Raw genomic sequence first — 26,169 nt, 5'->3', positions numbered from 1 at the left:
GCACACACCTGTAGTCCCAGCTACTCAGGAAACTGAGGTGGGAGAATTGCCTAAACCCAGGAAGTCGAGGCTGCAGTGAGCCATGATCCCACCACTGCATTCCAGCCTGGGCGACAGGAGTGAAAGACTCGGTCTCCAAAAGGAAAAGAAAAAAGAAAAATCCCTCATGGACTCTTGAAGATCAAGGAAAGATGCTTTCCTTCTGCCTCGATGTCCTGGAATAAAATCAGGCTGGTCCTTGGGTACCTAACCTTAAGCCAGGAACACAAAGCACAGGGGCAGAGATCACGACTATCTGACCCCAGAGCCAGTCAGCTGTGGTGAGGAAGGTGGGACATGTAGCAACATAAAGCTCTCCTGGAATCACATACCTGGAATCTGTGTTTGTGTGGAGCAGTTCCCCAGAAAAGGGGAATGCTAGTTCCAGGACTGGTGGTGGGAGGCTAACCAGGTGGTACCACAGATAGTACCATTCAGTTTTTGCTACTGAGCCATGAGGTCTGCAGAGTTAGGAGGTTCCCACGTCTGTCTTTGTTTCCCACACTACACCATGCCGGCACCTAGCACATTCTTCTCCTTTGGAAAGGAGTATAGTGAGGAAGAAGCAACAAAAGTGGGCTAGGAAAGCAAAGGAACAGATTGTTGGAAGTAACTGTGAGAATGGAAGTAGCGTCAACTCCCAACTACAAATGTGAAATGCCTTTGGGCAGCATGCTGCCTCAATGCTCTGTGTGAGGCCCAGGGTTAAGGAACATGGCCACAGTGAGCACTGGTTAATAAAGATGGCCAGGGGCTGGGCAGGTTGGCTCACACTGTAATCCCAGCACTTTGGGAGGCCGAGGTGGGTAGATCACCTGAGGTCAGGAGTTTGAGACCAGCCTGGCCAACATGGTGAAACTCCATCTCTACTAAAAACACAAAAAAGTAGCCGGGTATGGTGGCATGCACCTGTAATTCCAGCTACTCGGGAGGTTGAGGCAGGAGAATCACTTGAACCTGGGAGGCGGGAGTTACAGTGAGCCGAGATTGGACCATTGCACTCCGGCCTGGGCAACAAGTCTCACAAAAAAAAAAAAAAAAAGAAGGCGACCAGGAAGCCAGTCTCAGCTCTGTCACCAGAGAAGTAGATGATTTAATGAGTCCTTACCAGACTAGATGATTTTCAACATTCTTGGGAATCCTCACAATTTTGTGAGGTAGGAATGGTTATTGTACCCATGAGGAATCTGTGATCCTAAATATAAAGCCCTTGCCCAAGATGATACAGAAACAGAATTCAATGTCAGGGCTGATGCTCAACTAGAACTGTGGGACCACAGTCAGGTTTTCAATGAAATGCAGTGTAATGAGGTCGCTGGGTCGTATAATATCTCATGGCCTCTCTCTGCTTTAGTGAGCACAAAGGTATGTAGAGAGAAGCAGAAAATAGCTGCTGTGATTCCGTAGCAGCACAAACCACCACCCTCTCTTGCCAAGTGTTCCTGGGACAGCCCTTTCCTCTGGCAGGGTCAAGTTTCTCCTATGCAACTGCACAGAACAAATACTCCTTGTTCAATTTCTACTGGGAAATGAGTTTAAGTAAATTGTTTTTAAAAATGTGAGGCTATAGTATGAGATAGAACAAAGCTTTTCCTCAGGAGGCTGCCAAGCCTCTCTTCGTGGATGGGATGAGGAGTTTAGGCTTTTTATCACTCCTCTGATCTGCTAACCCACACTTTAGGATTCTGCTTAGAAGAAGACAAGAAGATGTCGGAAAGTTTGGAACCACCTAGAGACTTGTTGAATGGCCTTGATCAAAATGCTGACAGTGATATGGATAATGAAGTCCAGGCTGAGATAGAATAGAAAAACCCATTTTCTGAGGAGAAATTCAAGCTGGCTGCAGAAATTTGCAAACATAGCAAGGAGCCACATGTTAATAGCCAAGACAATGGGGAAAATGTCTCCAGTGCATGTCAGAGATCTTCACAACAGCCCCTCCCTTCACAGGCCCAGAGGCCTAAGAGAGAAAAATGGTTTCATGAGCTGGGCCTAGGGCCATGCTACTCTGTGGAGCCTCAGGGCATGGTGCCCCTCATTCCAGCTGATCCAGCTCCAGCTGCGGCTAAAAGGGGTCAAGGTACAGCTCAGGCAGTTGCTTCAGATGGTGCAAGCCCCAAGCCTTGGTGGCTTCCACATGGTGTTGGGCCTGCAGGAGCACAGAAGACAAGAGTTGAGCTTTGGGAGCCTCTGCCTAAACTTCCCAGGATATATGGAAATGACTGCATGTCCAGGCAGAAGTCTGCTGCAGGGGTGAATCCCTCGTGAGGAACTCTACTGAGGCAATACAGAGGGGAAATGTGTGTTTGGAGCCTGTGCACAGAGTCCCCACTGGGGCACTGCCTAGTGGAGCTGTGAGAAGAGGGCCACCATTGTCCAGACCTCATAAGGGTAGATCCATCACCAGCTTGTACTGTGCACCTAGAAAAGCTGCAGGCACTCAACGCCAGCCTATGTAAACAGCTGCGGAGCTGTGCCCTGCAGAGCGATAGTGGTGGAGCTGTCCAAGGCCATGGAAGCCCACTCCTTGCATCAGCATGCTCTGGATGTGAGACATGGTGTCAAAGGAGAATTTGGAGCTTTAATATTTATTGACTACCTGGGCAGGTTTTAGACTTGCATGGGGCCTCCGGCTTCTTTGTTTTGGCCAATTTTTTTCCACTTGGATGGGAAAATTTACCCAATGCCTGTACCTCCATTGTATCTTGAAAGTAACTAGCTTCCTTTTGATTTTACAGGCTCATAGGTGAAAGGGACTTGCCTTGTCTCAGATGAGACTTCAGGCTTGGACTTTTGAATAAATGCTGGAAAGAGTTAAGACTTTGGTGGACCGTTAGGAAGGCATGATTGGTTTTGGAATGTGAAAAGCACATGAGATTTGGAGGGGCCAGGGGCCCAGTGATATGGTTTGGCTCTGTGTCCCCACCCAAATTTCTCATCTCAAACTGTAATCCTCACATGCTGAGGGAGGGACCTGGTGGGAGTGATTGGCTCATGGGGGCAGTTTCTCCAGTGCTGTTCTCATGACCGTGAGGGAGTTCTCATGAGATCTTCATTGCCAAAAGCAGTGTTATGAATAAAGTTAACCTTGGAAATTAAATTTTAATCATTTTTGCATTGCCAGTTAACATTTCTAAGAATAGAATAACCAAGTTTTCTTCACATAAATCAAGTGTACACATTCTCCTAGATTTTCTTCAAATCTCTATGTTTGCCCTTTTTCTGTGCAATAAAATATTTATGTATTTTTGTATTTATGTATTGTCTCACCAGGAGTGATGAATATTTTCTTAAGCTTATGTCATCCAACAATGGTGTTATTTAAATACTGGAAAAAGTTACCAGGGAAGCTTCTGTAATCTACTTAAAATATAGTATAAGTGAGAGAAGCTCATTTTACTTCTTATTTTTAATTTTCATGGGTATATAGTAGGTGTATATGGGGTACATAGGATATTTTGGTACAGACATGCAATGCATAAAAACATCATGGAAAATTGGGTATCTATTTCCTCAAGCATTTATTATTTGTGTTAGAAACAATCCAATTATACTCTCAGTTATTTTTAAATGTAAATTTAAATTATTATTGACTATAGTCACCCTGTTGTGCTATCAAATACTAGGCTTTAATCATTCTTTCTATTTTTATGTACTCATTAACCATTCCTACCTCCCACCCCTGGCCTCCACTACCATTTCCAGCCTATGGTAACCATCTTTCTATTCTCTATGTCCATGAGTTCAACTGTTTTGATTTCTAGATGCCACAAAATAATAAGAATATGAAAAGTTTGTCTTTATGTGCTCGACTTACTTTGCTTAACATAATGAGCTCCAGTTCCATCTATGTTGTTGCAAATGACAGAATCTTATTCTTTTTTTATGGCAGAATAGTACCACATTGTGTAAATGTACCACATTTTCTTTATTCATTTATCTGTTAATGGATATGTAGGTTGCTTCCAAATCTTAGCTATTGTGAACAATGCTGCAGCAAACATGGGAGTACAATATCTGTTCGACATACTTATTTCCTTTCTTTGGGTATATACCCAGCAATAGGATTGGGACTTGTGTCCCAAGCCCAATAACGCTGTGGTTTTTGTAGAGTAGTAGAGGTGCTGCCTTGGTGGTTTTGGATAAGATCCAGAAGAATTCTCTGGATTACCGACAGAGACACTTGGTCTTTTCCCTTACTTTCTCCTAAATATATGGGGTCTCCCTCTCTGTGCTGAGCCACCTTGAACTGGGGGTGTGGTGATGTAAGCACCCATGTAGCCACCACTACTGGCAGTGTGCCGGGTCAGACCTCAAGCCAGCACAGCACTGTGCCTTGCTCAAGGTCCTTTCCTTCAGGGTGGCAAAAAACTGACTTCTTATGTAAGCTATTAGTATGAGGAAGAATAAACTAAAATTGATTCTCAATTTCTTTTGATTACTAGCACAAAAAAGATTTATTGAATTTAAAACCTCATACTAAATTCAACAATAAATGTAAAACAACTAAAGCTATGTTATTTTTTCAATACTTATGTGTTTAAACTATGTTTGTGTAAAATGATCTTCTGTATTCTACCTTGATTACATTTTGGGGGCATGAATTGTTTCTTAATTAGGGAAAATTTCAAAACATAAATTCCCATGTTCTCATCTCACAGCTTTAAAAATTATTACCTCATGGCAAACTTTCTCACCTTCTACCTGATATACTATTTTGAAGAAAATCAAGGACATTGTATCATTTCATTCATAAATATTTCTTGATATATTTCTCCAAATGAGAACTCCTTTTTATATTAAAAATTACCACACTCCCATTAATTTTGTTTTCAAATTATGGATTTGTGATTATAAAGTCAAAACAATCACTTTCAAAGATGAAAATTTTGTTGTTAGAAAAAATGTGTGTATTTTATTCTGTGTGAGTGATTGTTGCTGAGATAATGTTTTATGTCAATTAGCAGTTATGTGAGACACTGCTCTAAAAAGCAAAGCACTGCAGTCAGCAAAGGATCAAGAATTATGTTTTCCCCTATTTTGATGGGAAAAATACAACTGCAGAGTTACATATAAGCCAACATAGAGCTACTAAATGTTATATATAAAGTTTTGGTGCCGCAAAAGAAATAGCACTCGAATATAACATTTTCTTTTAATTCTCAGCAAGGCAAGTTACTTCTATAGAAGGGTGCATGCTTACACATGGAGCAATGGTGAGTGCACACTTGGACAAGGGAGGGGAAGGGGTTCTTATCCCTGATGCATACGGCCCCTGCTGCTGTGTCATTCCCCTATTGGCTAGGGTTAGACCGCACAGGCTAAACTAATTCTGATTGGCTAATTTAAAGACAGTGACAGGGTGAGTGGTTTGGCAGGAAAAATGGTTATGACAGAGCAGGTCATCGGAATGAGTCAGGGTGGAGTAGGTAATCGGAATGAGTCAGGGTGGAGCAGGTAATCAGAATGAGTCAGGGTGGAGCAGGTGATTGAAATGAATCAGGGTGGAGCAGGTAATTGAAAAAGGTTGCTTTATGAGGAAGTTAAGTTTAAAAGTAGAAGGTAAAGAATTGAACATACTGACATATTGATTCTTTGAAAATAAATTTAGAACTCATATCTAACAATCCCTCCCCTTGTATTTCCTTACAGCTTTCTTTTCAAACCTTTTTTTAACATGTCTTGGCTTAGCTGTTTTGCTTGATTTTCCAAAAGAAGCTTCTCTGGATAAGGTGGAGGATAGTTAAGGGAGGTTTTAGTATGTGCCGTTTTTATGAGCCTCTGCATCAACCTACGGATGCATGGTATGACACAGCACCTGACAAGAATAAGTACACCCATTACGGCTGCGAGGGAAGTAAGAATTGAGGCTATTATTCCTTTCCATTTACCGAACTACTTTTCTTGCCATCCTGTAAAGGGGTCATTTACCCCTGAGTTGTTGGCTAACTCATTGGACAGAGTAGTCAGACTTTGCAATGCCTTTGTTATACTTCCATCAGTGGTGGTGGTGTTTGGGATGAAGGTACAACATTGAGTTTTCATCATGACGCAAACTCCTCCTCTTTCTGCTAATATCATGTCTAAGGCTGTCCTGTTTTCCCCAGCCATCTGGCTAGTTGCCCCTAATTGTTCAGCTATTCCTTTAACAGCATCTCTAATGTAGTTAATAAATCGCTGTTGGTTGTAGTAGATGTAGTTTATCCAATCTACATTTTTATTAATTGTCACCTACCAAAATATTGACTTAAATCCTGCAGCTATTTGATTTCGGGTTTTAAATTGATCTGGTATTCCCTATGGGACTCCAATTGTGTCTAAATAGACGTGAGAGTCTAAAGGCCCATAAGGGGCTTCTCTCGCTTTACGATGTGTTATTTTTCCTTCCTCTGGTTGATGAAATGCCAGGGTGAAAGGGATAGCCAACTGGGCTAAAGCACAAGTGCCACTCCAGTTATTCAGCAGTGTCCAGTAAAGGTTCACCACAATACCACCACACATCCGCTCGGGGATGAACAAGGGCTGACTGATTGATAAGCTCTTGAAAATTCTTAAGCTCACTGCATCCCTTCAGGTCTACAAGGAATGCTAAGTCTCCTCCCTGTCGTGAGAGACACGAAGTGAACTTAGTGTTGGGAGACTGAAGCTGGATGGCCCTCGGGGGCTGACCCACAGGGTGCCAGACTTCGGGATATAGCAGAGAGAGCTTGGCATGACTTACTATTCCAGGCTGTAGAATCCTGGAAAAGAGCTACCATGCAGCCCATGCCTGGTCGACTGGAGGACCACCTTAGTGGAAAGGGGACAATCTGGGCCTCTGGCCTGCTGTGTGCACAAGCATAACAATTGCTTTTGTTTAACGTGTGGATGGAATATTTGATCCATTCCAACTGGTATCCTGTCTTAATTGCCAAAGTTTGTTTTAAGTCTTTAACTTTTACGATAGCTATCTTGGTCTTGTCGTTAGATGGAGGAGGAGCAATTATTCCGTTGTGAGAGGTTTTGGAAGAAGGCTTAGAGGAAGGTGCAGGCGTTGGGGGATCAAAGAAATGCATTTTAAAGAATCTAATAGGGTTTGTCCCTGAAACCTCAGCCCCTATACCATAAAAGCCAATTCCAGGCTTAAAGAAGGGAACTGGCTTAGAAAAGGGAGAGAACTTTGAGAGTTTGAGATAATAACCCATATAGAATTACATTGGTTTAGCTGACAGTTAGGGGGGAGGGCCGTCCTTCTAGTAAAATGAATGTATGGTTTTAGGAAATTACAAAAACCGTTTGGAGCAGTCCACTCTTGGTCTTTAGTGGTCTACAGAATGTTGGACTAACTACGGCATAAAAGCTCTACAACAGGGAGCAAGACTCCTGGTTGACACTGGGGTCTTTATCAAAATCTCCCCCGGATTAAATGGTGCCAATTCACTAATGCCCAGTCTGAGGAGAGTCAGGAGGGACAGAGGTACTTTTCTGAAGTAGAGAGCTTTGACTTAGCAAGTCCCCACAGGGTATAACAAGGCAAGCATTAAATGCAATAGTTTGAGGTGAAATTGACTTGGTTATGTTAATAACTAGATGGTCAGCAATAGAGCGAGGAAAGAAGAAAGAGTAATAGAATAGATGAAAGAGAGTTAAATTTTTCTTAGCTTTAGTTTGGTAGGGTTTTTCCCTGGGACCATGGCCCACAACTCAGGAGGGGGCGGCACTTTGTTGACTCGGGTGTGATGAGTCCATCCCCTTTCCACTGTACGAACAGCAGTCTCGGTAGTTAGCAGCACAAGGCAGGGTCCTTCCCAGGCTGGCTGGAGTTTTCCTTCTTTCCACCCTTTGATGAGAACGTGATCCTCAGGCTGGTGCTGGTTTACTGGAAATTCTAGGGGTGGTACCTGTGCTAAAAGACTTTTAGTTTTGAGGGAAAGGAAAGTGGAAGATAATCCAAGTATATAATTTCTAAGAAATTGATCTTTTGTTTTAAATGTGGGGACATCAACAGTGGACTTTATAGTCCTTGGTGCTTTCTTACTGAGAAATTTCCTTTAGCACCAATTTTTATTAGTTTTTATACCAAAGAAAGCCAAACACCATTTTATATTTGACAATGCTTCCTGTATGATCTTTATACCAGATAAGCTAAATTTCACCTTTAGTGTGTTATTAATGTTAAACTCAATTTTAATAAAACCTTGTAGACATATTTATCCAATTTTAACATGTGACCATAAGGTAAGATTTTTATAGACTCTTTTCAACCTTTTATAATTTTTGTTAAAGAGCAGGTTAGTGCTTTAAGAAAAACCTGTTGTGCTTTTATTTTAATGTCCAGTTCACAGAAAAACTGGATGATACCTCTTTAACTTTAGCCAGTATGTTTACACACAGAATTTCCTTTACAATTAATGTTTCAAAACTTGCTTAAACCTTTAAAACTATATATATATATTTAACCTTTTAATGTAGGTAAAAATCCACATTCTTATGCCTCCTTATAATCCTTTTACCAAAGGTATATTTTACTTTCCTTATACATCTTGCACATAAACTTTCTTCAATAGTTTTACATTCAGGAGGCCTAATTACTTTTAAATTATACAACATTTCTTGCATAAATTCCCTTTTATAACTTTTTTTTTCACGACTTTCACAGATAATTCTTTGACATGTCTCAACTTTCTCACTTGTTGCAAACATCTGTTTCTTTAAACAACCAGTAGATTTATTTTAGGACAAGAATTTACCATATAACACTCTTTTTACATAAATTCTCTTCCTTTTTTTTTCCAAAGATGATAACCATTCTTTTCCACAGCGAACTTCCTTCATGTCTGTGGACTAGACTGCCTAAGACCACAAGATTAGAAGTTAGGATAATACATGTTACACTGTTAACTTTTAGCAAACTTTACTTTTTGTTGAAAACCTTATAAGTTTGGGATTTCAATTATCCTTTGCTATTAATAAGACCTTGTTTAGTCCAAATTAACTTACAATTGGTATAGATGGTTCCTTCCTGGTTCTGTAAGTACTTTAAGGCTTGGCTGAGTGCAAACAGCTCCCATGTTTGAGCAGACCAATTATTAGGCAATTTTCCTAACTCTGCTTTTACAAGAGTTTCCCTATTAATTACTGAATACCTATTGTGTCTTTTTCCCTCAATTACTCGGGAGGAACCATCTATCTCCTGTCCTGAAGGGAGTTCCTCATAGGTCTGGTCGGACCTTTGTATGGTAATTAATTAAGATTTAGATCCCCTGTTAGGAAACCTGCTGAGTTAAGGGAATTATCGGTGGTTAATTTTAAATCATCTTTTTCTAACAGAATAGCCCCATACTTTAAGATTTTTGAGTTAGTAAGCTACCTTTTTGCTTTTTTTTTTTTTTCCCCTTAGGCTAGTTCTGAACTGGCGAGGTGTGCTCACAATGAGGTTTCTTCTAAAAGTTATTTTTCTACTTTCTTCTGCTACCAAAGCAGTTGCCGCTACAGATTGAATTCACTTGGGCCATCCATGGGTTACTGGGTTAAGGATTTTTGATAGGAAGGCTACGGGTTGTCAGTGGCCTCAGTGCTTTCGGGCTATGCCCTTGTTTACACTTACAACAAGGTGGTATTGGAGTGTTAGAGTGTCACAGAGAAGACCTTCAATTATCAATTATAGGTTTTAAATTTACCCTGGGCTTTAAAGGAATATGGTACATTGTTTTCTCTTTACTACTTCTATCTCTCTCTCTCTCTCTCTCTCTAACTCCCTCTTTGTCTCTTCCTCTCTCTGTTTTTCCTCTCTCTCTCTCTTTTTCCTCTCTCTCTCTTTCCCTCCTCTGTCTCTCTCCTCTCTGCTGGTCTTTCCCTGCCTCTGCCAGCCACTTATGCTGCTGTTCTCCCCTCTCCTTCCCCTTTTACCCCGGAGAATAAAAGTTCCTCTGAGGAGGAGACAACATTAGACGGGGGGAAACAAACAGAGGAGCGAGCAGCCTCTGAATCGACTAAAAAGGTGATAAGCTCATGTTTAGGTCCCACCTCCAAATTTATCAAGGGCTCCTGGTGGGACTCAAGAGACAGAGCCCCTGACCCCCCTATTCTTCCTCGAAAGTTATGGGTGGAAGGGCTTCTTTCTCCTTTCTTAGTTCAGGACATCCTCTCTTGAAGTGGCCTGTTCTTCCACATCTACAGCACCTATCTTGTCCTTCCTCCTTAGTTCTGGGATTCTTTAACCCTGCTCCCCCATACTCTTTAGGGGGCCTGGTAGACGAGGACCTTGGTCCTCCAGATGGAGGCTGGGATCCTTTAAAAGAGGGTTCGGACCCTTTATAGTTTCTAGCTCCCTGGAAACTGTCTAGAAGTACCTGGGTTTGGAGCCATCTGTTGAAAGGTGGAAAACATAAGTTTTGTCTTTTGTTTCTGTTTTTCTTCGTCCCTTTTCATGTATACTCACGTATACTTTCTGAGCTTCCCTGAGAAGCTCACTTAGGGGACGGTCTTCCCAATTGTCTATCTTTTGTAACTTTTTTGAAATGTCTGGCCAACTTTTAGTGACAAATTGGAGTTTCAACCTTCCTTGCCCAAGGGGATCATCCAAATTGAGGCTTTCATATTGCCTCATTCGCTCCCTCAGTCTATCTTGATGGTTTTGGGGTAAGGTTCAAGGTTCAATTTCCCTTACTGATAATTTCTCACTTTTTGGGGTGAGGCTCATTTCCCCCACTGGAAATTTCTTGCCTTTTCTACTCCTGGAGGTTCGTGTGAGGTTCAATCCCCACCAGTGGGGATGTCTCGCCTCTTTTTAAACTCTAAGCCACCCCAGCCAAGGAGTACTTCACCTCCTCCGCTCCCCCCTCACTTTCTTACCTTGGTTCCGACCACCAACGGAATACTTTACCCGCTCCCGTGGCTTCTCCTTCCTTGGTCTGTGCACAGAGTCATTGCCGCAGTATGTGAGGATCCTTTAAGCTAGGTTGCTGGCCAGTTTTTTTTCCCCCCGCGTTGCTGAGAGCTTGGGTTATTCCTCGCACTGGGTGGGTCTTGATTTCTCACCCCTGAGGCCACCACAAGGCGGCAGGCCGCGCCTCCTCACGAGAGAGAACCAGAGACTGTCCCCGGAGGGGAACGTAATCACAGGGGAGCCCCCAAATTGTTATATATAAAGTTTGGTGCCACAAAAGAAATAGCACTCGAATATAAAATTTTCTTTTAATTCTCAGCAAGGGAAGTTACTTCTATAGAAGGGTGCACCCTTACAGATGGAGCAATGGTGAGCACACACTTGGACAAAGGAGGGGAAGGGTTCTTATCCCTGACGCACGTGGCCCCTGCTGCTGTGTCATTCCCCTATTGGCTAGGATTAGACCGCACAGGCTAAACTAATTCCAATTGGCTAATTTAAAGAGAGTGACGGGTGAGTGGTTTGGGGGGAAAAATGGTTATGACAGAGCAGGAGTAGGAATCGGAATGAGTCAGGGTGGAACAGGTGATTGAAATTAGTCAGGGTGGAGCAGGTAATTGAAAAAGGTTGCTTTATAAGGAAGTTAAGTTAAAACTAGAAGGTAAAGAATTGAACATACTGACATATTGATTCTTTGAAAAGAAATTTAGAACTCATACCTAACATAAAGTACTTTTTCAAGTTGCTTTTATGCTTGATGTGTTAAGGAAAGACAAAAAGAACTTGTAGCTTCCCTTTGTAAATATGAAGGTGTCTTGTGAAACTGATCCAGCCATAAATATATCCTAGGAATACTGATTCTTAAGAGTTTCATATTGCTGACCAAAGAAAACAAATCCTATATAAAGGAGTGATTCTTTTTTTTTTTTTTTGAGACGGAGTCTCACTCTGTCGCCAGGCTGGAGTGCAGTGGCGCGATCTTGGCTCACTGCAAACTCCACCTCCTGGGCTCAAGCCACTAGATTCTGATGAGTCATATTTGCCAGTGGAAGACATCTCCCCACACCCAGTGAAAGCAGTCTTCCCAACCTCAGCAGAAGTGGCATACCCACCCCCAGTGTCAATGACATCCTCACTGACAGTAGCATTAGCTTGTCCACCTTCAGTAGTATTGGACCTCCTATCTCAATCTGAGATTAACCCTGCATTGCCTGAGGAAACTATAATGGCCTCCCTCAAGGCAGTTGTCATGTAGACAATGCTGATTCACCTTAGGCTCCACCTTCATCGTTTATCTTTGTTTCTAGACCTATAACTAGATACACACCCCAAAGGTGAGTTACCCGTGAGGAGGTGTGATACAATTCAAATAACTACTTCCGTTTTCTAACTGATAGAGACAGAATCTGGCGAGCAGCTGTAGGAATAGATACTAAGGGTGTAGGATAATAGTGGAAGGACCACAAAGTTTGATCAGGTTAAATTTATTGATATGGGCTCACAAAGCAGAGATTCTGCATTTAATGTTGCAGCTCATGGAATTAGAAAGGACTCTAATAGTTTGGCTAGTTGGTTAACTGAAATATGAATCAAAATATGGCCCAGAGCAAAGTTGAAATGCCTGTCTTGCCTTTGTTTAATGTAAAGGACCAGATTTAAAGTCTTAGGGAAACTGGAGTATTATAGTGGATTTGTCATTCACCCACACTGGGAAGGTCCAGAAGACATACTTTTCACCTGTGGGGAAGAGTAAATTTTTCCCCTGTAGGTTTGACAAAAATGAGTCTATAAAACTAACTGATAATAGATTAACAACAGGTAAAAAGGGCATACAAGTTTATTCATATGCATATGGGCATGGGAGTCACATACAAAGTATGAAGCTCAAAACAGAGATCAGTTGGTTGAAGGTTTTATATTATCCTGAGGTTACAGAAAGAATAGGGACTTGGAACTTGGCAAGACGGGTTATGGAAGGGAGACAATAAGAAGGGCAAGAGGTAAAGTCAGTTTTGTTACGCAAATGAATCCTCACAGGTAGCACCCCTCAGAAACAACAGATGGCAACCTGTGGTTGAATTAATCTTCCCTATCTATACAAGGGGAAGGGCCTCAGAGAAAGCCTGGCTGTTTATTTAATTAATGTAGATTTTTCTCTACAGATGCAAATCTCCTCCACAAAAGGCAGCTTTTCAGAAGTATTCCTGTCTGCAGGCCTTCTGAATAACCGTCTTGAAATAATATGTCACAGTATATTCTGGGGGTGAAATTTTTTTTTTGTTTCCTTTATACCAATTCTGTGAAAAATTTTTATGAGGAGAACCCCAGCATACTTCAAGAGCTCCATGATTTCTCTTCTCTTTAGGCCATACATTACAGAGGGAACTGCAATCACTGAGTTGGAAACTTAAATGCAATAGGAATAATTGGATCACAGGGTGGCAGGGGCCAAGTGGCAGTACTCCATTACCAAAGGCAAGGTGCACATTGTTAACCATAATGGACAACAGAGTCAAAGCCACAATCACAATAGTCTGATTTGCACAGAACTGTAGTGTTGGCTAATTGATCATGGTGCTCCTTGAAGTGAAATAGGTAGGAAGCCTACTAAATTCTTATTTGATCTGTATAAATAGAAAAGTTCTAGCTTAAATGAACAAAAGCTTAACATGAATCATAAAAGCAGAGACTCAGATTCCTCAATCAATTTCCAGACTGAAGCCAGTTTACAGACCCAGAATCCCTTGAATGAAGAGGTTAGGTTTCCTTGAGGAAGGACCCCAGTTCACTACCAAAAATTTATACTTTTAGTTTTTCTCCCAGCCTTCCTCAAGTGAATCTATGACCTTTTACCAGGCTAACTGTGCACTGGGGAAAAGGAAATAATCAGATCTTTCAGGGACTACTATACACTGGCTCTGAACTGGCACTAGTTTCAGGAGACCCAAAACATCACTGTGGCTGACCAGTCAAAGTGGCAGCTTATGGAGCCCAGGTGATCAATGGAGTTTTAGCTCAGGTCCATCCCACAATGGGGCTAGTGGGTCTCCAAAACCATCCTGTGGTTGTTTTCCCATTTCCAGAATGCATAATTGGAATTGACATACTTGGCAGTCTGCGTAATCCCAACATTGGCTCTCTGACCTGTGAAGTGAGAACTGTTAGGGTTGGAAAGGTCAGGTAGAAGCCCCTAGAAATCCTCTACCAAGGAAAATAGTAAATCCAAAGCAATACTGCATTCCTGAAGGGACTGCAGAGATTAGTGCCACCATCAAGGACTTGAAAGAGGCAAAGGTGGTGGTAATTCCCACCACATCCCCATTCAACTTTTCTATTTGACCTGTATAGAACACAGAGGAATCTTGGAGAATGACAAGATTATCAAAAGATTAAGCAGGTGATGGTTTTAAAATCCAATTGCAGCTGCTTTACCAGCTGTTGGTTCATTGCATCAGCAAATTAAAACATCATCTGGTCCCAGGTATGCATCTGGCCTGGTATGCATCTGGCAGATGTCTTTTATCTCCATCCTTGATGTTGACCTAAAATAAGAGGCTGAGGCACAATAAATAATTTAAAGCGTTCACTTGAGCCAAAATGAAGACAGCTGTGAGGAAGATTGAGACACAGGTACACTTGGATATGAGCTCTGTCTGGCCTTTGTTATAAGCAAATTTTTATTTATTTTTTTAATTTTTGTGAGTACATAGTATGTGTATATATTTGTGTAGTACATGAGATGTTTTGATGCATGCATGCAATGTGTAATAATCACATCATGGAGAATAGGGTATCCATCCTCTGAAGCATTTATCTTTTGAGTTACAAGCAATCCAATTATACTCTTTTAGTTATTTTATAATATACAATTATTATTGACTATAGTCGCATTGTTGTGAAATCAAATAGTGTCTTATTCATTCTTTCTAACTATTTTTGTACACATTAACCATCCCCACCTCCCCTCCAGACCCCAGTACCCTTCCCAGACTCTGGTAACCATCCTTCTACTCTCTACGTCCATGAATTCAATTGTTTTGATTTTTGGATCCCACAAGTAAGTGAGAATATGCGATGTTTGTGCTTCTGTGCCTGGCTTATTTCACTTAACATAATGATCTTCATTGTCTAGGGTGACACCCAGAGTTCTTGATCTCATGGCCAAGGAAATCAAGGACGTGGACATACCAAATATGAGGTTTAGAGCAGAAATGTAATAGGAGAAAGAGAACAGTTGTTTGGTACAGAGAAGGGTCCTGGAAAAAGGGTTGCCGTCCCACAGTGAAATGCAGGGGTTTTTATAGATGAGCTAGTGGGGAGGCGGTATCTGATCTACATAGGGCACGAAAAACCGGTTAGGACCATGTGTGCCATCTGCATATGGTGGGAATCTCTGGCAGCCCTCACCCCAACCTTTTATTATGCAGGTGAGTCCTCAGCCTGAGCTACTCCATGTTGCTTGTTTCTTACTGTGCATGTGCTAAAAAAGGGGCAGTGAAACTCCCATGGTGAACATGCCTGGTCCCAGGTAGCCCCTTCTATCCGTGCAGCTGCTGGCATACCCCTCAGTGCAAGCTTCCAGCCTCCTTATCCTTGTTTGCAGCCCGATCTTCCAGGCTGCTCTTTGTTAGAAAAGAAGTGATTTCTTGGGCTGCTTTTTGTTAGAAGGGAAGTTCTGCTGAGGACTCTTTGCCCTCATTATCTGCCTAAATAGTTTCTTTTTCCCTCCTGTGTCATATAGATCACATTTACTTTATCCATTCATCTGTTGATGGACACTTATGTTGCTTCCAAATCTTAGCTATTGTGAACAGTGCTGCAACAAACATGGGAGTGCAGATATCTCTTTGATATCCTGGTTTTTGTTTTTGTTTTTTTCCTTTTGAGTATATACCCAGCACTAGAATTGCTGGATTACATGGTAGCTCTATTTTTAGTTTTTTGAGAAACTGCCAAACTGTTCTCCATAGTGGTTGTGATAATTTACATTCTCACCAACAGTGTAGGAGAGTTCCCTTTTCTCCACATCCTCACCAGCATTTGTTATTGCCTGTCTTTGGATATAGGCCATTTTAATTGGGGTGAGATGATATCTTGTTGTTTTGATATGCATTTCTCTGATGATCAGTGATGCTGAGCATTTTTTCATATCCCTGTTTGCCATTTGTATGTCTTCTTTTGAGAAATGACTATTCAAATCATTTGTGATTTTTTGATTTATTAGATTTTTTTCCTATAATGTGGGTTGAGTTCCTTGTATGTTCTGGTTATTAATCCCTTGTCAGATGGGTAGTTTGCAAATGTTTTCTCCCATTTTGTAGGTTGTCTTTTCACTTTGTTGATTGTTTCCTTTGCTGTGCAAAAGCTTTTTAACTTGATGTGATCCCATTTGTACATTTTTGCTTTGGTTGCCTGTGTACAAGCAGATTTTTAAAGGCAAAAAAGGGGGACAGAGAGTGGGCTGATACAAAGTTGTTTGTCAGGAATTCTCTTTGGTTTATAGAAATAATATTGGTTAGTGATTGGCTATATATTGTTAATCTATAAGGCTTGGGTTATCTTGTCTTGTGCAGTATTGTTAATTTGTAGCTACTTGTGGCAATAGCAAGCAGTTTCTGTCATCAAATCCCAAAATTTTGGTTCACGTATTCAATGCACAGTAAGCCAAACCCTGACCCATCAGTGCTTAGGAGCAGAGGAAGGTTTATTCGATTTAGCCAAAGCAAGAGATCAGGACAGACAGTCTCTCAAATCTGATCTGCCTTTGAACATAATTGGAGGATTTCATGAATAAGGTAGGAATGCGGGAGGTGGGATCATCAAAGTTGTTTGTGCCCCTCGGACTCTAGATGTCATCAGTCCCGATCAAACTTTTGGATGCCATCAAGATCTGCATGACTTAAGGATCATTGTTCTTTGAAATAGAAACAGGTTCATCAATCTTGAGAGCAGGTCCGGGGTTCAGGATATGAAGTTAATCAATTACTAGTGATTACTCTCTACAGAAATGATTACGTACCAGCAAGCATGCACGGATGAGGAAAAGGACAAAGACAAAGGAGACTAAGTAAAACAACCTGATACTTAAAATAAGGGCTCGGTTACAACATCCTCAATGTCATTGTTCCATTTCTCAATCTTGAGGAGTTGGTATGTTGATTCATTGTAACTATTTCCTGCTGGTAAGGGCCATTGCTAGGGGTCCAGGGAATGGCCCTTATTTACCTGCAGGTGAAAACATTCATGTGTTCTGGGACTTACAGAAGCAATTCTTTGCAGTATCATTGAACAAGGTGTTAGGATCCTCTGAGAGAGGTGATTTTGAAATCTTATACATATAGTGCAGCAGCAATATAATCCACAACAAAGGAGTATGCCTATTCCTATAATCAAAGCTAGAATTATTAATTTTTTCCATCAAGAGAGTATAGAGTTGCACCAAGAAGATAACCATTGGTTTAGCAACATCATGGGGTCAGACATGGTATTAATTTGTGAATATCTTTAAAGTTTCCTGTATTGTCTGGGATGTATACAAGACATTTGTTTTTGATTATGGCATAGGTTTCCCTTTGTGTAGCTGTGAGGACATTGAGGGTCATGCAGTTCTGCAAGATTGCCTTTCTCATCATGGTCATTTCAGAGGTCACTAAAGAGATGCCTCTGAATGCATTCTTTAGCATATGCTGCATATAGTTTGAGAGGGTCCTGGTATGCCAGATAACATTTTCTAAACTAACTTAGGGAACAGAAATGGATAGGAGATGGTCATAACAGTGGAAACCAACCTGGTCCATTGGTACAACACATATTGGAGATCTGCAGGCTGTCCATCTGTGTTTTCCAAATGAAACTGGACCCAAGGGAAACCCAGGGTGCACCATTCTATCCATTCAATAAGGTAGTCAGGGCCAAAGATCAGTGTCACATAGCCATTTAGTTCCATTTGGGGCTAGTCATCGAATTCCTAGCCTCTGTGTCCAATCAGTAGAAAACCAGTCAGTTTGTTGCAGCACTAGAGTATGTTGACATTGTTGTGGGGGCATCCAGCCCATATTAATATTTGGGCAATGATCATAAGAGTTATTTTTTTTGTTCCTAAGGTGTCAACTTGATTTAAGTAGCTGGTGGTGGGTGTCATCCAAAGGAAATCATCCCAAACTAAATAGAAACCTTCCTCAGTATAGTGACTGTTAATAGTCAAAACTTTGGGGGTTGCCAAGAACTCATTCAGGAGAGGAGCAGCATATTCAGAAGTTTGTCGAATAGTCTGATTCATAGTAAAAGGTTTTCTGTGACCTGGGTTTTGGAGGGTTACATTAATGACAGGCCATAACCTTTTATTTTCTTGTGTTAGAACACCAGGGACCTGATTTTCTTGTAAATTGTTTTTCATTAAGGTTTGTAAATGTACTCAGTCATTTCCTTGTAGAGGTGAGACCCACCAAGGTAATCCAGAAATGCTAGATATAGGTAGCAGCCCACAAACCCCACAAGCTTCCTGTTGTAGGCTATCTGTATAATGCTGTGCCCATTGTAGGAAAAGATTCGTTTCAGGAGACACCATAAGCCCATATATTATTATGGGGATTAGCAAGAATATCATAATTAAATGATAGAAGGCCTTACTTATTTGCAAAGTTTTCCTTAAAGAGCAGCTTCAAGTTTTCAGTTGGTTCACAGGTCCATTTAGGTTGATTACCTCACACATTGAGCTGAGGAGGGGCAATCTTTACCTGTGGGTATAATGTACCCAAAGTTTAACCACAGCCAATTTGATAGATAAATGAGTGGTCAGGAGGACTTCATAGGGTCCTACCCATTGAGGGACCAGTTGATGATCCAGTCCAGTTTCCCTCCAGGTCTTGAGTAGGACTTGGTCTCTGGCCTGGAAAGGGTGAAGTGGCATGTCCATGGGGAAGGCCAACCTGTCAGAAGCAAACTCTTGAACAGAGGTTACTTTTTAATTTGGCAATTTAATTTCAAAAGCACTCAATTGGAGCCTACTTTAGGGAGCAACCTGAATTCTCAGCAGGGCAGAGGGCAGTACCTTGACCCAAGTTAGACTGGTTTCTTGGCACATCTTAGCAATTGTTCTTTTTATAGTATGATTCATTTTTTTCAGTCTTTCCTGTGGATTGTGGACACCATGCTGTGTAAAGTTTCTATTCAGTGTCTAGGATCTGAGACATTTCCTGTACTACCTGAGAGACAAATGTTGTGTTGTTGTCACTCTGAATATCAAAGGGAGTCCATACCAGGGGATTATCTCTTTAAGTAAGCTGTGGGCCATTTCGGGTAGGGTACGCCTCCATCCATCCCGTAAATGTGTATACAAAAAAAAAAAAAAAGGATATCTATAGCCTTTGGGCACTCACAGCATTGTTGTGAAATCAACTTGCCAATCCTCATATGGAGAATCTCCTCAAGAGTCCCCTGAACAGGGGGTACGGGTCCAATTTTAGGATGGTTTTGAGCACAGAGAGTGCACTGATGGATCATATTTTGGATTACCCATTGCATATTGGGACTAATCAAGTACTAACGTAGCCATTAAAGGGTTGCATCTTTTCTGTAATGGGTGCTTTGATGAAACTTGCTCACTACTTTTTTTTTTTTTTTTTTTTTGGCAGAGTCCTGTCCTGTCACCCAGGATGGAGTGCGGTGGTGCAATCTCGGCTCACTGCAACCTCTGCCTTCCAGGTTCAAGTGATCCCATGCCTGGCTAGTGTTTTTGTATTTTTTGAAGAGACAGCGTTTCACCATGTTGGCCAGGCTGGTCTCGAACTCCTGGCCTTAAGTGATCCACCTGTGTCGGCCTCCCAAAGTGCTGGGATTACAGGCATGAGCCACTGCGCCAGCCAACTCACTGTATCTTTAAGGAGGGCTCCAGGAACCAATATAATGCCTCCCAAATTACATATCTAGCCTGGATGGCCTGGGGCTGGGGACGTAAATCCCCAATCCTTGGGCCACTTTAAGTCTTCTTCAGTATAGCAAGGTTGAGACTTACTTAGTAAGATCAACCTGCGATACAAACAGGGCTAAGAAGGCCTCAAAGTCCAATGTTTTTGCAGCCTGTTTCGCTGCCAGGTTGGCATGTTGATTTCCCCTTTTTGATGGCTAGGATAGTGGATGATAGCCACCACTCTGGGGGCATTTACAGATTCTTATAAGGCCAAAATATCAGAGACATATTTGATTTCCTTGTTATCACTAGTCAAAGGCCCTCTCTCATTCTAAATAGCCCCATGGGCATGTGCCACAGAGAAAGCATATTTAGAGTCTATATAAATATTCCCAATTTTGTTCTTATCCAATTGGATGACAAGAGTAAGGCAATGAGCTCACGCTGTTGAGCTGAGGTACTGAGGTGTCTGGCAATAAGGCTTTGGCTTTCACAGTGCCTTGTAAGGTACCGACCACACATACCCTGCATGATGACTTCCATGGTCCTTGAAGCTGCTTTCATCTGTGAACAGTTTCAGGTCAGGATGTGCCAAGGGCTAATACACCACGTTTGGTCAGCTGGAAAAGATCTGCTGAATATTCTGAAGAAAATTAGGTGTAGCCCTGGCTCCGTTTCTGTAGGCTTTAAGGTAGCAGTGTTAAGAACTGAGACCGCCTTTATTTTTAACTCTGGTTTGTAAAAGAACATAGCCTGGATTTCCCTAACCTCTCTGGAGTCAGCTAATACCCCTCCTTTTTGCTGTAAGAGAGGGAGGATGTGATGCAGTGTGTGAATGGTGATGGCTGTCTGAGAGTTAACTTTTCAGCCTCCTAGAGGAGGTAACAAGTTGCAACTACTGCTTGGAGGCAGGGAAGCCAACCCTTCACCACCTGATCAAGCTATTTAGTGAAATAAACAATTGATCTCCAGTAAGGTCCCAAACTTTGAGTTAGGACTCCCAAGCTCATGCCTTGTTTTTCATGCACAAATACATCAACAAATTTTCTGACATTTGGAAGACCCAGTGCAGGAGCAGTCATTAACTTTTCTTTGGCTTTATTAAAAGAATGTTGGCATTCTGAGGTCCTGACCAAGGGTTCAGATTCCTTTCCCTTTAGGACCTCATAAAGAGGTTTTACTGTAAGTTCAAAATTTGGAATCTAAATTCAACAAAATCCTACTATACTTACAAAACCTCACAGTTGTTTGCAGGCGGTAGGGACGGCTGCCCAGGCTATTGCCTCTCAGCAGTCTGGGAGAAGATTTCTTTGTCCCTTAGTTGGTTCAAACTCCAAGTATTTGGAGATCAGGGCTTGGGAGATTTGGGCTTTTTCTTTTGGAAATCTGATAGCCTCTTTTTGTTAGAAAACTCAGTATTTGGATGGTATTTTCAAGGGAATCTCTAAGAGTCTTACTAGAAACAAAGGTATCATCTTGTAAAAGCATTCTTCTTTCGGTCAGAAATCCCTTAAGTCCCATGCCAAAATTCTCCCAAAGGTTGCGGGTAAATTTTAAAAATCCCTGAGATAACACTCTCCAACAGTACTGCTAATTCACCTGCATTCCTGGTCTTGCCCATTCAAATGCAAAGACCTCTTGTGACTCCGTATCTAGCAGTATGCAAAAGAAGGCATCTTTCAGATCCAAAATTATAAACCATGTAATGATTTACCTTGTCTTATCTCCTGATAAGCTTGTCAGCAAAGTATAGGGATTAGGTACCATAGGGTGTATGTCCTGGACTACTTCATGAATAACCCTGAAGTCTTGCACAAGCCAGTAGTCAGCTGAACAGGGCTTGTGAACCAGCAAGACAGGAGTGTTGTAGGGGAAGTGACAGGGCTGAATTAGTCCTTGTCCCAAAAAGGCTTCCAAGAGCAGCTGAATGCCCTTTCATACTGCCTCCTTTAATGGGTGTTGTTTTAGATTAGGTATTCTGTGTCCCTCATTTATTTTTTACAAGCTTGGCTGTGACCATTCTCCCCAGCTTCCCTGAAGCCCAAATATCTTCCCTTAGCCTCATGAGAATTTTCAGATTATGAGACTGACGCGCTGCCCACTGCGCTAAGAGGGCCTCTAACCTCATGAGAATTTTCTCTGGAATGTCCTAAACTTCTGTATTTTCTGGTTGGAGTTGGAGCTTTTGAAACCTGCAAGCTTGTTCAGGAGGAATCCCTATGTCTAGGTGTCTGGAGGAAAAGACAAATTGAGCACACAATTTGGCAAGCAAATCCTGGCCCAGGAGGGGCACTGGGAATCCAGGCACATACAGGAAACTGTTTCAGGCTGGTCTCTCCTAAATGGCAATCTAAGGGTTGTAGAAAGGGGCAAATAATGGCACCTTCCAATATCCCCATAACAATCTTGGTTTCTCCCATAATTGGGAAGAGACAAATGTTAATTACTGATCATGTGGCAACTTATCATTTAAGAAATCAATCATTCTGTTCCCCAATGTCAATTGTATCTTGGGTTCCTGTGGGGATACAGGTACTGGTCATTCAAAGTCTCAGGGACACCTTGGGCTGTATCAACTTTCATCTCAGTCTTTTCCCCTTCCCATCATCTGATTCTGAGGGAGAGTTGGGCTTGACAGCCACTTTGGTCAGTTTGGGATGGCCCTTTTTCCGATGTCCTTCTTCCTTACAATAAGTGGACTGGTTCTTCCCTAAGGTGGGGTGGATCCTCCTTTTGCTTTGATTTTTTTCATTTCTTTTAGGTTGAAAGTCAAGCACCATCACCAACATGGATACTTGTTGCTTTAACTTGTGCTTTTCCTGATCCTTAACCCAAGCATAGTACACCCTAAAAGCTAACTAGACTAAATGTGTTTGGCAACACAATGGCTTCATCTATCTTTGGCAATTTTCTTTGACTATCAGGGACACTCTGACAGATGAAGCTCATATTAACCATTCTCTGATTTTCCAGTTCCACCTGCAAACTTTTGATATGTCTGATAGTCTTTCCAAGAATTGTGAAGGCCTCATTTGGTTGCTGCTGTACCTCCTGTACTTTATTAAGGCTCTTGGAGGGACCCCTTTCTTTAAACCTTCAAGGATACAACTTTAATAGTGCTCTAAGTGGGGAAGACCTCCATTATTTACATCCTAACTGGGTTCCGTGGTGCGGACTGACTGCATTGGCTCAGGGAGATTATTTCCATCCTCAAGATGGAGCCAGGTTGCTTCCTCTTTAGTTTTTTTCTATGACAATGTTCCTTTTATTTGCTGTGAGCAGTACATTTAACAAAGCCTGGATATCTGCCCATGTGGGATAATAGGTCAGAAGTATGGATGAGAATTGCTCAGCTATTTACTTGGGGTCATCTTGATTGGAGGGATTATTGCTTTTCCAATTGAACAGATCTGAAGTGGGAAAAGTGGAGTGCACCCACATCATATCAGCCAAATGCTCATTCACATTATCCTAACAGGGGATTAGCAGAGAGGAAACTGCCCTACCTAGGGGCCTGTGGCTCACTGGCCAAATTTTGTTACCTGTCAGGTACAAGAAGAAGAATTCATAACCTATCCTGATTTTTCCCCCATGAGGGATTGGGGGTGTCCTCCTCCTGCTCCACATGTTCCATAAGGAGGGGGATGTGCTGGAGCCACAGGTGGCAGAGGAAGGGGCAGAGGACCAGGATGATTATTTGGGGGATTCAAGGTGCTGATCAGCACCTTGTCCTCTACATCTAATGGTGGAAAGTCTAAAACCTTAGGTTTGGGCTATTCTTCCTTTTGCGGCATCAAGTTATACTACACCTTTTTTGAGCAGGTTTATTCTGACACAAAAGCATAAAAATCCGAACATATGGGATCTCATCCCATTTTCTCTCCCTCTTACAAAACAGTTCTAGTTGCATTATAGTAACATAATTTAAAGACCCATTCACAAGCCACTTTACCCCAGAATCTAAGGCATATTGAGGCCAAGCAGTGTAATAATAATAATGAAAACATTTTCTTTTTCCTCATGGACTCCTAGCTGAAAGTGGCCCAATTCTGGAAAACACAGCCAAAGAAGGCTGCACTCTGAGATTGATCCTGAATTTCCCACATTCAATCCTTCCACACACACACAAAACCAAACTACTGCAGGTACACAAACAAGCAAATCAGTATAGGCTACCATTCTACTTACTCTCCCAAATGGGCTCTCTTCAAAATACAAATGGAGAGAATGAGAGATTTGGTTGCGCATGTGTAACAACTTGCCCTTCAAATCAAAACTGAAAATTGAGGAAGCAGTCCAAGGTGTTTCTCTGCTCCAAGCTCCTAGGGTGCCAAGGGCAGCTGACACCTACTGAGAAGGGTGACCCCAGGGCTTACCCCAAGCAACACACCCAGGCAGCTGTGTGGATGCCCATTTGCCCAACCTGACTGGGACCTACTGGCCATGAGCACATGTGTCCTGCTGCAGTCATCAAAATCTGTTATCGATTCCTGAAATTTAGGCTCACGTGCCTGATGCACATTAAGCCAAACACAGACATATCAGTGCTTAGGAGCAGAGAAAGGTTTATTCAATTTGGCCAAAGTGAGAGGGCAGGTGAGACAGTCTCAAATCTGACCTGCCTTTGAAATAACTGGGGACTTTTATGAGTAAGGTAAGAATGTAGGAGGTGGGATCCCCCAATGATCAAATCTCTTTGCACTCCCTGGAATCTAGATCTCATCAGTTCCAATCAAACTTGTGGATGTCATCAAGGAGGTCTGCATGACCTATGGATCACTGTTCTTTAAAAGAAAAACAAGTTCATCGATTCTGAGGGTAGCTCCAGGGGTCAGGATTTCAAGTTTATCAATAACTAATGTCCACCCTCTATAGAAATGACTAGATACAAGCAAGCATGCATGGATAAGGAAGAGGACAAAGAAAAAAGACAATAAATAAAACAAACATCTTATGATCTTTATAATAAGGGCTTGGTTATATTTCAAGAGATGAATACATAGCTCAATGGGGGAAGGAGGGTATGACTGCTGTCTCAATTTAATGCCTCTCTGGACCTGATAATTTAAAATGGCTCACATTCCTCAGATAAAATTGCTTTTCTTTCTTCACTGCCCATATGCCCACCAGAAGCAGTTTGCTTTCAGCTGGAAAGGCCAGCAATATACCTTCACTGTCCTAAATCAGAGGTATATCAACTCTCTAACCCTATGTTATAATTTCATTCTCAGGGCTCTTGATTGCCTTTTCCTTCCACAAGATATCACACTTGTCCATTATATTGAGGACCTAGTGAGCACCAAGTAGCAACTACTCTAGGGTTATTGGTAAGAATTTCGCGTGCCAGTGGATGGGAAATAAATCCAACTAAAATTCAGTGTCCTTTTACCTCAGTGAAATTTCTAGGGGTCCAGTGGTATGGGACATGAAGATATTCCTTCTAAGGTAAGGGATAAGTTGTTGCATCTGGCCCCAACAACAACAACAAAAGAGGCATAATGCCTTGTAGGCCTCTTTGGATTTGGAGGAATACCCAAATGATATTCCTCATTTGGGTGTGTTACTTCAACTCAAGTACTGAGTGACCTAAAAAGCTGCTAGTTTTGAGTGGGGCCCAGAAAAGGAGAAGGCTCTGCCATAGGTTCAGGCTGATCTGCAAACTACTCTGCTCTTGGGCCATATGATCCAGCAGATCCAATGGTGCTTGGTATCAGTGTCAGATAAAAATGCTGTTTGGATCCTTTGGCAGGCCTCTATGAGTGAAACACAGAGAAGACCCTTGGGATTTTGGAGCACACGTGCCACCCTCTGCTCTTTTACCCACTATTTTAAAAGGAGAGTAGGTATCTACTTTCCTTTTGAAAAATAGCCCTTGGCCTGCTACTGGGCCTTATTGGAAACTGAATATTTGACTATGGGTCACCAAGTGACCATGCGACCTAAACTGCCTATCACAAACTGGGTGTTATCTGACCCACCAAACCATAAAGTTGGGTGTGCACAGCAGGACTGTCTGCATCATCAGTTGGAAGTGGTATATATGTGATCGAGCTGAATGGACTCTGAAGGCATAAGTAAGTTACATGAAGAAGTGGACCAAATGCCCATGTTCCTCACTCCTGCTACACTGCCTTCTCACTCTCAGCCTGCACCCATGGCCTCATGGTGAATTCCTCACACTTAGTTGACAGAGGAAAAGAAGACTAGGCTAAGTTTATAGATGATTCTGCACAATATCCAGGCACCACCCCAAACTGAACAGCTACAGGACTATAGCCCTTTTCTGGGATATTCCTGAAAGACACTCATGAAAAGAAATCCTTAGTCTGCAGAACTCCAAGCAACAAACCTATTT

General features: G+C 41.9%; 2 annotated features.

The window, feature by feature from the left end:
- Window positions 12,718-13,555: an enhancer, noted in NCBI's record as "OCT4-NANOG-H3K4me1 hESC enhancer chrX:37335671-37336508 (GRCh37/hg19 assembly coordinates)". NCBI's record gives its function as "activates a minimal SCP1, AML or CMV promoter by ChIP-STARR-seq in primed H9 embryonic stem cells {active_cell/tissue: H9 hESC(primed)}" and the evidence as "EXISTENCE:reporter gene assay evidence [ECO:0000049][PMID:30033119]".
- Window positions 20,559-21,149: an enhancer, noted in NCBI's record as "H3K27ac-H3K4me1 hESC enhancer chrX:37328077-37328667 (GRCh37/hg19 assembly coordinates)". NCBI's record gives its function as "activates a minimal SCP1, AML or CMV promoter by ChIP-STARR-seq in primed H9 embryonic stem cells {active_cell/tissue: H9 hESC(primed)}" and the evidence as "EXISTENCE:reporter gene assay evidence [ECO:0000049][PMID:30033119]".

This window comes from Homo sapiens, chromosome X (assembly GCF_000001405.40).
Source record: "Homo sapiens chromosome X, GRCh38.p14 Primary Assembly".
NCBI lineage: Eukaryota > Metazoa > Chordata > Mammalia > Primates > Hominidae > Homo > Homo sapiens.
This window is presented reverse-complemented; position numbering and strand designations above follow the sequence as displayed.